This window comes from Homo sapiens, chromosome 9 (assembly GCF_000001405.40).
Source record: "Homo sapiens chromosome 9, GRCh38.p14 Primary Assembly".
Taxonomy (NCBI): Eukaryota; Metazoa; Chordata; class Mammalia; order Primates; family Hominidae; genus Homo; species Homo sapiens.
Genome location: NC_000009.12, coordinates 3,961,315 through 3,971,520, shown reverse-complemented (window position 1 = coordinate 3,971,520; position 10,206 = coordinate 3,961,315). Strand labels below are relative to the sequence as shown.

General features: G+C 39.4%; 1 protein-coding gene across 12 annotated transcripts in view, besides 1 other annotated feature; it reads left to right on the top strand.

The window, feature by feature from the left end:
• The window catches only part of GLIS3 (GLIS family zinc finger 3), a 666,339-nt gene that overhangs the window by 518,945 nt on the left and 137,188 nt on the right, over positions 1–10,206 (top strand). The window lies entirely within an intron of this gene.
• Positions 1,994–3,193: an enhancer, noted in NCBI's record as "MED14-independent group 3 enhancer chr9:3968328-3969527 (GRCh37/hg19 assembly coordinates)". NCBI's record gives its function as "activates an origin of replication core promoter dependent on BRD2, BRD4, P300/CBP and CDK7 cofactors, and independent of MED14, by STARR-seq in HCT116 cells {active_cell/tissue: HCT116}" and the evidence as "EXISTENCE:reporter gene assay evidence [ECO:0000049][PMID:35650434]".

Sequence of the window (10,206 nt, the reverse complement as noted above, 5' to 3'; positions counted from 1 at the left end):
TCCCTTTCTCTCTTCTTCTCACAAACCTGTTATTAGTTTCCCCCAATGGCTTATTTAGAATTTTCTCATTTCTGAAAAATACCATTTTTAGGTATAAGGGATGACTGCATAGGGATCAGATAATGACTTTTTCTTTTAAGGCTGGGTTACTTTTCCCTCAACCGAGTAAGGGCTGCTTTGTGCCAGTGACACCATTAAAGCATAAAATAGAATTCAGCCTCAAGCTCCTTCTGATGTGACATAGGCAGAAAGTGTGTAGTGTCTTCATGTGGACAGGAGGTCTAAAATGAGCTCCAAATGTTCTCCACTTTGAGAGGGGTGGGTGACATGGCTATCTTGCCATTGCTCCATTCTTTGATGGTGATGGAAAGCATAAGGCTCCCTTCCTTCCTTCCTTCCTTCGATCCTTCCTTCCTTCCTTCGATCTATCCTTCCTTCCTTCCTTCAATTAATCCTTCCTTCCTTCCTTCGATCCTTCCTTCTTTCCTTTGATCGATCCTCCCTTCCTTCCTTCTCTCCGTCCCTCCCTCCCTTTCTCCATTCCATCCCTTTCTCCCTCTTTTCCTTCCATTTCTTCTTCCCCATCCTTTTTTTATTTCCCCTCAGAATACTAAAGTCATATAGCAGGGCAAATACAGCCAATGTTGTGCCTCTGAACCTGCTTTGAACTCATTGTTTAACTTTGGGAATACTCATCTTCTCATCCTTCTCTCTTCAATTGCCAGCTTCACACTAGGATATTTACTTGGTAAATTGTTCTCCAAAGTTTAGAAGAAATTGAACTGTGCTGAGTGAGAGGTTTGTGTGTATGATCAACTTAATCTCAGTTTCTGCTCTGCTGAATAATCCTGCAACTCCATGCTATAGGATAGGGCTTCTCAACCTCTACATTACTAATATTTTCAGCCAGATAGTTCTTTGTTATGAGGGCTGTCCTGTGCATTAGCAGCATCCTGGGCCTTGTTCAGGGGCAAGGTAACACTGGTAGTCTCTTATTTCTGTATTTTTAAAGAAGATGTCTATGGCAAACTTTTAGGTTGACAAAATAAAAATTTCTTCTACAAATAATGCATTTGTTTGCCCAGATTGTCTAGGAAAGAAATTACATTTTGGACTTCCTGTTCCATGAATTATCAAGAGTCTTCTGTCAAAAAATAATCAACACGATTCATCTTCTCATAATATAAGGACTGTAATATTACATTGCTTTTGAGTTTTTCCACCATTAAAAAATCTTGTTTATGACTATTTTAATCCCTTTACTAGCATCAGTGAAACAGAGAGGGTCTTGTTTACTGTCCTCTTTAGGAAATCTCTGAGCTAAAGTAGAAGGATCTGTGCCAGATATTTGCTGGTTATATGTGTGTACCAGCTCTGAAAACCACCCTTAATAATTGTTTTCAAATTATCTTATGTGCCAGACTTTTGCATTTAGGCAGAGACGAAAGCTAACACTAAATTACTGACTTCCTGGTTGTGTGTGAATGCAGTGAACGTTACTCACTTGGAACATGAAATGACTGTACAATTCTAAATAAAATATTTTATCATAGGTAGCATTTGTCCACCAAGTTGCAAGATTTGCCCCTGAAACAGGAAATAACAGAATTGATCTAAAGCCCCTCACCTAGCTTCCTTCCCTGAAAGTATACTGTGAAAATGCCACTTTTTGAATTTTGCTCAGTTTCTGGACAGAGGTGCTGGATTGCCTAGCTTTCCTGTCATTAGGAGTGACTGAAAGCAACCATCTGGGGCTTCTGACAAGCTTGGTCATGGAACTCAGAAACAAGGGACCCAAGTTATTTTGGTAGCTTCATACACAGCAAGCTGAGTTCTTCACAGTGGCTGTATTTGGTTGGGAAAAGAAGATCTCCAGAAGAATCAAAGAGCTATCCTGGGCTTTTGGAATCTTGAGCCCAGCTGAAGGTGCTGATTACTATAAACAACAATCACTTCATGGTCCATATTCCTGAGATCTCTGCTTTCATGAAATTGATCTTGATTACTTCGTATCAGTTCTGATCAAGTCACCAAGTGGCTATGTATCTGATATGTGCAAGACCAAAAGAAGGTCTACTTTGAGTGGAAACATTGGGCCTTAGTAAATCCTTTCCGCAGACCTCTTCTTCTTTGGAGATATTTCCTGTGAGGTGTAGGGAACGTATAGCACAAGGTTTGCTCGCTTTTGAACTTCTGCATTTCTAACCTAATGTGAATTATAAGCAACCTTTTATTCAAAGAAAGAATAATAGACTGAAAAGGAGATTGATATTTCAGCCTTCTGAATCTTCACTTTGTGCTGACAAATTAATCGTCTGTTTTACCTTCTTCGAACAGTGAGGCTCATTGTTCAGTTTGCCAGGTCATATGCATTTCATCACACTACACCTTGGTGACAAAGCAGACAAGGGGAAAAATGAACCTAGAGGTGAGTCAAGGCTTTGGCTTTAGTTCTGTGACTCAAACACGGACAAGTCATTGGTCCTGACAATTGCTTCTGTGACACAATGGAAAAAAAGCCAAGCCGTTTTGATGGAGCCTAACACACTTTTGCAAAGGGTGTCTTGTCCCTAGACTCTGTGGAGTCATATTTAAATTTGCTCACTCACTTATAGTTAGATCTTTACCCAGACAGTCCAGTCTAAACCCCAGTGGATGAAGTAACTCCCTAAATGTACCAAATGTATTTGGTAATTCAGACTTTCTTTTCCAGAATTAAAGATTGAATTTCTTTTAGGAGTAATAATGAAATGTACTATTACTTGATCTATGGTGGTTACATGAGTTCTTCAATTTATAACAATTAACTGAATTGTACTATCATTTATGTAGTTTCCTGGATATAATACTTTAAATTAAAAGATTTACTGTTAAAAATGATGAAATTGGCAAGAATAACATTATAAAGGTGAAAAAAACCTTACCTATGGAGAACATAAAAATACAATACCTTAGCTTTCTTATATAATTTGTATAATTTAATCAAACATTTTTCCTTAATATATCACTGTTAAGCATTTTGTATAGACGGATTATCACACGTATATGTATTTTTCATATGCATATAGTCAGCATTTCATTTGGTGATACTGAAAATGCTACCTCCTTTAAAAAAATTTTGTTTGTTGCTTAACTGATATGCTTTCTGTATTATTTAATTAGGCTACCATGAGTATTGAGACAAGTGCTGTTAAGCTCCCTATCATCAGCACTGGGAATCTAAGCATTTACCGTATCTCCACTGTCCCATTCAGTTAGAAGAACTTTGAAAGCCATTAAAGGTGAGGCTTCCTGCTGACGATCATTCTGCTCCTGCTACATGATAAAATCATGCTGCCAAGGTCTTCACCCCCTTAGACTAGTGACAATAGATTTGAAATCCAATTTTGAAAACTCTAAAATTATAACCCAGAGATCTCAAGAATCCACATCGTATTTTAGCCCACACCTTCGGACAGATTGTATGAATTTAGATTTATGGCGAAAAGGAAGGGATGAGAAAGTTAACCTGAGTTAATGGAAAATGTAATTCCAGTTTTTGAAGATATGATTTATGGGGTCTTATTTTCAAACAACAAAGCATTATTTGCTCACAACAATGCACAAAGTATTTTCCTCACCTCCTGAGCCTCCATCACTCTCCCCCTTAAAATAATAAGTGTGAAGAGCTTGGTGCCTGTCCTTCTGCACATTCTTTACGGTTGTGGAAGCATACAAATATATACACATATATGATTTTCCTTACAGAAAATGGGATCATATTATCCATCTTTCTCATGACATTGCACTTGTCTCTTAGCATCATAATATGGATATCTCTCCAGGTCACTTCATGTAACTGTAACACATTCTTCTTGATAGCTGCATCACAGTCTGTAGTATTGATGTATTATAACCGAGGATTCAGGCATGTGTCCTGTGTTGCTGCCCCTGTAACACATTAAGCAGTAAATATGCTGGTATACTTATCCTCATATACTAATATCTTTCTTTTCTTTTCTTTCTTTTTCTTTTTTTTGTGGTGGAGTCTCGCTCTATTGCCCAGGCTGGAGTGCAATGGCCCGATCTTGGCTCACTACAACCTCTGCCTCCTGGGTTCAAGTGATTCTCCTGCCTTAGCCTCCTGAGTAGCTGGGACTACAGGCACGTGCAACCACGCCTGGCTAATTTTCTATTTTTAGTAGAGACAGGGTTTCACCATGTTAGTCAGGCTGGTCTTGAACTCCTGATCTTAGGTGATCTGCCCGCCTCGGTCTCCCAAAGTGCTGGGATTACAGGCATGGGCCACCACGCCCAGCAGGATAGAGAATTTTTAAAGAAAAATTGATTTCAAAATGATTTTCAGGTACACAGTAACTGAAAATGAATTGGCCAGGTGTATGGCAGATAGAGATCCTTACTGGACTTCTTTACTAAATGTCCAAGAAGAATTGCATGTACAGTATCAATCATGTACCTGATTGAGAAATCCTCAAAATGTTTTTTTGTTTTTTTTTTTTTTTTTTTTTTGCAGAAAGAAATTGTCTGGAGTTGAGGGTAGGAATAAGGATTAACTGTAAATGGATATGAGGAATCTCACTGGGGTGATGAGAATGTTCTAAAACTGGATTGTGGTGAGAGTTGCAGACCTCAGTTAATTTACTAAAAAATCATTGAATTTCACTTTTATATTGGGTGGATTTTGTGGTGTGTAATTTATACCTTAAAAAAGTTGTTTTAAGGGTTTTTTGTTTTTTGTTTTTTTTTTGTCTGTCACCCAGGCTGGAGTGCAGTGGCGCGATCTCAGCTCACACCACCTCCCGGGTTCTAAGTGATTCTCCTGCCTCAGCCTCCTGAGTAGCTGGGATTGCAGGCGTGCGCCACCATGCCTGGCTAATTTTGTAGTTTTAGTAGAGACAGGGTTTCACCATGTTGGCCAGGCTGGTCTTGACTCCTGACCTCAGGTGATTGGCCTGCCTCAGCCTCCCAAAGTGCTGGGATTACAGGTGTGAGTCACCGCGCCTGGCCTAAAGAGGTAAAATTTTAAAGCAGTTCATGTGACATCTTTTTTTATATCATCAATTAGCATTATCTGAAAAAAAAAAGGCTTTGCATCATTGAAGTCAAATTTAGCCTATCAACACCTGTTTGATTTATTACAGTGTCATAATTCTTGGAATTTGCTCAATAAATATTTCCTGCATTTAATAGAATACACTTTTTTGCTCCTGCTGATTACAATAGTCATGTCCCATAATGGCATCCAAGGAAGCCAGGATTTTGTTGCAACAGTCATAGATTTCATCAATCCCATTCAGTCATTCATTCAACAGTTATATAGTGAGCATTCAGTATGTGCCAGGCATGTGTTTTAGTCATTAGGAACATATCAGTTTCCAATAAGGTGAAGATATCTTCCCTCTTAGAGCTTATACTCTAGATTAAAGTTTAAGAATGAACAAAAGACCACAATTTCACATTTTTAACCTGAGTTTTCTGTTGAAATGAAAATTATCATTCATTAGGAATTGCATCTGGAATTCTGAAATTCTGCTAAGCTTCAGGTGACACTGATGCTGAAGCTGGTTTGAAGACCACACAGTGAAGAACGAGGTTTTAACAAACAATGACATGTGCCTACACAGTGGTTATAGTTATGTGAGGTTGTAGTGTATCTGTTACCTTTTGTTTTCTCCATTTCTCTTCGTTTCCTGGGGTCTAAATAAGCAGCACAGAGTGAGAGAGGAGGAGTTGGTGGCCAGTAAGTAGCTCTGGGTCATCACCTGGTACATCTGCAGCTTGTCTTTGCTGAATGAGAGATCACTGCCTGCTGCAAATACTAGGAACATAGCGGGGTTTGGAAGCAGCGCCTTCCACTCCTTCTGCTGCACTGGCCTTCCCCATGCACATGTTTCGTCAGGAGGTTAGAAGGTTTAAACCTTCCTACAAATCTTTTACAACTTTTCTTTAGACTGTTGATGATAAAGACATAGGATTTGACTCAAAGTTATGAACCAGTGGATTAGAGTGATAGAATTAGGAAAGAGGCGTTGGGCGTGGTGGCTCACGCCTGTAATCCCAGCGCTTTGGGAGGCTGAGGCGGGCAGATCACCTGAGGTCAAGAGTTCCAGACTAGCCTGACTAACATAGTGAAACCCCCTCTCTACTAAAAGTACAAAAATTAGCCAGGAGTGGTGGCTCGCGCCTGTAGTCCCAGCTATTCGGGAGGCTGAGGCAGGAGAATCGCTTGAACCTGGGAGGCAAAGGTTGCAGTGAGCCGAGATCACGCCACTGCACTCCAGCCTGGGCACTGAGCGAGACTCTGTCTCAAAAAAAAAAAAAAAAAAAGAAAAGAAAAGAAAGAAATAGAAAAGAAGTAGGGTAAAGGAAACTCCTATTGTTTGACAGCCTCCTGTGTGCATTTAAGCACCATAGAAACCTTAGGAGAGATTTCTTATTTTCATTTTCAAGCATGACAGTTGTGAAACTGTGGCCCTCAGAGTATTTTATTTCATATTGCTATTTTTTTTATGTCCAAGATCACACAATTGGTAGTTAACGGAACTAAGTTTAGAATAGAGTTATTTGTATCTGACTTCAAACAGGCAACAATACCCTTAGCTCCATGTCCTGCTGGAGATTTTCTTAGTTCAGGAACATTTCTTTTCTCTTTAAGATAACCTTCACTATTTACAATTTTTGAGCACCATAATTTCCTTAAAAAGCATTACCTCACACTCATGTCCTACTACTGCCCAGAAACACTGAAAATAAAAGGTATTGGCTTTTGCTATTATAAATCATTTCACCTGATACCAATTTTGAAGACAAAATATGAAAAAATTCTGTCCCTGTGTCTTACTCTTTTCCAGTATTCCAGCATGACAGGCAAGGTATGTTCTAGACACAGGCAAATTTAGAAATATAGAAATATCATCTGCTGGAGAATAATTGATCCTTGTTATATGTCTGATCATATTTCTGGCTAGTCATCTTCAGAACATCAGATTTAATTAAATGTAGTAACTAATTAAAGGACAGAGTGTGTGATTGAATTCCTGGAAAATTAGAAAAGAAAATTTCAGATAGGTAGAATTCTCTTCATTTGTTCCTTTTTGGGGGGGTAACGTCTTGACCTTTTGTTAAATACAGTGCAAAGAGAATGTAATTAATGCAAGTGTGTTTTGTACGCCCAGTAATAGATTTTTTTCATTGAAACATAACTTTTATAAGATGCTTCTGTTATTACTAGCTGTCAGGCGAAAATTAAATGAGCTTGCTCCGAGCTTCAGATTTATCTTTCTGTCTACAAAAGGCTATGTGAGAGACTGAGGAGATACATAGCATTTATGATGATTCTGTAAATTAGTCCCATCAATCTGTGGTAAACATAATACATCCTCTCCCTGAAGCTAATGGCTTGGGCCAGCAATGATACTTTGCAGCCCAGCACTCTCTCGGTGTCTGTTTGGAAAATACCTCTAGCTACCAGGAACTTCTACCAGTTAGTGTGCGGGGACGCAGTTGTTTACTCAGAACATGCATGGCAGCATGAAGCAGTGCGTGCACCATCACAGATTGGAAAAAGTGTCCAGTTTAACCGGTGGAATATAGTGTCTGGTTCACTGTAGTTTCATGGCAATCAGATTCAGAAATGAAACATGAAACTGACTCAAGTGATGTGGAAGGCCCTTGCCAGCACTGTCTCCGAAGGGCTTATTTACAGTTTCTGTACCAGGAACCATCATCCTTGGTGTCTCGGTGAGGCCTGACGCCACTTCAGCCTCACGATAAGATTATCAATCTGGATTGGCAATGAACCCAATCTGTGCTTTACCTGCATTTCTAAAGCTGAAGAACAAAGCAGAAGTTAACTTTTAAATGACCTCCCTGCTTTGAGAGTCAAAGAGGAAACTTCTATCATTCAGCACTTAATTTTCCTCTTATTTGGTCTCTGCATTAGAGGATGGTCCCCGTGCACAGAGCTGACTTTTACTCTGGCTGAGTCACTAACAGTTGGGAGATGGGAAGCCACTTGGCCAAGCACCAAAAGTTTTCAGTTTCCTGTGATAACTCAGACTTCGGAAGGATGCAGAGTTTGCCCTAATGTCTTATGAGAACAAGCGGCACATCTCCAGCAGGGCCAGTGATACTGGGGGAGCAGTCGTCACTTCAATATTCCAGCATACTCTCACTGCCAGTTTTGTTCAGAGCTCCAGAAGTGCAGGGGATGTGTGAACATGTCGAATTAATGAAAAACAAAGTTAAACATTTCAGAACCTGCAAAAGGGTTCAGTTCCAGAAATGAGCAAAGGTTTGGGAAGAGTCTTATTTTTTAAGTGAGGTTTATTCATCCTCCGTAGACACAAAAATAAGTCTTTCAAAGAACATGAATATTTGAGGCACTTGGCAACATGCAGTCTTTGGCAACCTCTCCCTTATTTATACCATGTAATTATACTTGCCTTTATATGTGTGTCCTTTTCGTTTTTGAGCCTAACATGGTCTTTTGTCAAATTCCAGTTATTGATTAGCACTGGCAACTCTGAAATGTGGCTTTTTATACCTCAATAAATCTCTCTCCCCCCCCCCCCCTTAAATCACAGCAGATCTTGTTGGACATTTGGGGAGAAAACAACTTAAAATTCACATCCAGATCTTGGCTGCCAATTCAGGACTTCGTTACTATGCCATTTGCCAAGTTTTTAGCTTACTCCTCCTGAAAGTGCAGGGTTTCGGGGTGGGGGATCCCTTTTGCTAGAGTGAAGACCAAATGACATCATTAGCACTCAGCTGAATCTGTGACTCCCATGAAATTCTGGACTTCACATTCCCCCCTTTCTCTTGTTTCTCCCTATTTACTCTCCTCAACCCATCCTGTAATCTCTTCTCAAACAAAAAGCAAACAAAAAACTGCTCAAAGGCATGACATCAGTGACAAACTATGAGCCTACAGATTTGTTTGAATAAATATAAGTAAACAACCAACGACTTGGCTTTTTGTCAAGAGATTTAATCCTTTTGCCAGATGTACACTTACAGTGTTAATTTTCATTAGGGAACTGGTACCCCCTTTAAAAAGAGAAAATTAAGATTGCTGGGGAAGAAACTAGTGAGGCATGAGTGTGGGCACCAGGTATTTCTAGCCTCTCTTTATTATTTAAAGAAAGTGTCATTGTGTCTAATCTATACTACCACCAAGAAAACTTAGTTGCAGCCAATTATTCTAAACTCAGTTCTATTTAGGGTTGCATCTTTTTAGGAAGAAAAGAACAAAAGTTCTTTGATACTGCTATTTTCTTCTTTCTTCTCCTTTTTTTTTGAAACAAGGCCTCACTCTGTTCCCCAAGATGAAGTGCAGTGACACCAGCATGGCTCACGGCAGCCCCAAACTCCTGGGCTCAAGCCATCCTCCTACCTCAGCCTCCCAGGTAGCTAGGACTACAGGTGTGCACCACCACACTTGACTAATTTTTTAAATTTTATTATTATTATTTTTTGTAGAGACAGGATCTCACTATTTTGCCCAGGGTGTTTTCAAACTCCTGACCCCAAGCAATCCGCCTGCCTCGGCCTCCCAAAGTGCTAGGATCACAGGTGTGAGCCACCATGCCGGGCCAGTAATGCTACTTTCATATTCCATGTTTATGTCAAGATACTTTGTGATCATAACTAATTTTCTTGAAGGTTTCATTGGTTTTTGTATTAAGTGGTACCCTTTAGCCTGAAAAGAGTTAATGCAACTTCTCATGATGCTTGATTGGTAGTCAGCGAAGATCCCCTCAACTTTTTGAAATTAATAGATATGTTCTTACCTTTGTCTAATTGTGCAGAGACTTGTGTGTAGACTCACTAAACCTGCCAACTCTAGCAAATGGTGTGTAACTATTCTCAATATGGGAGAGCCCACAAAGTACTGTTTCAAAACGGGATGCTATTTCCTCACAGCAAGTTTCCTTCTTCCTATTGAATGTTGGCAACCTTGATTTTGGAATAGTTTTGCATTTACAATCAAGAAACTTTCAACGAATGTTATTCTGACTGGCTTACTAGAGACCCATGATTTATGACATGTTTAATTCCACCTGACTTCCATGAGATGGTTGCATGGAGAGAACATGTAATATATTTGAATTTTGTCAAAGCTGGAGAATAGTATATTTTGGTCACATATCAGATTCAAGCCTGTATTCCAAGCATTTATTCATTCTACTTGTTTGTTTATTT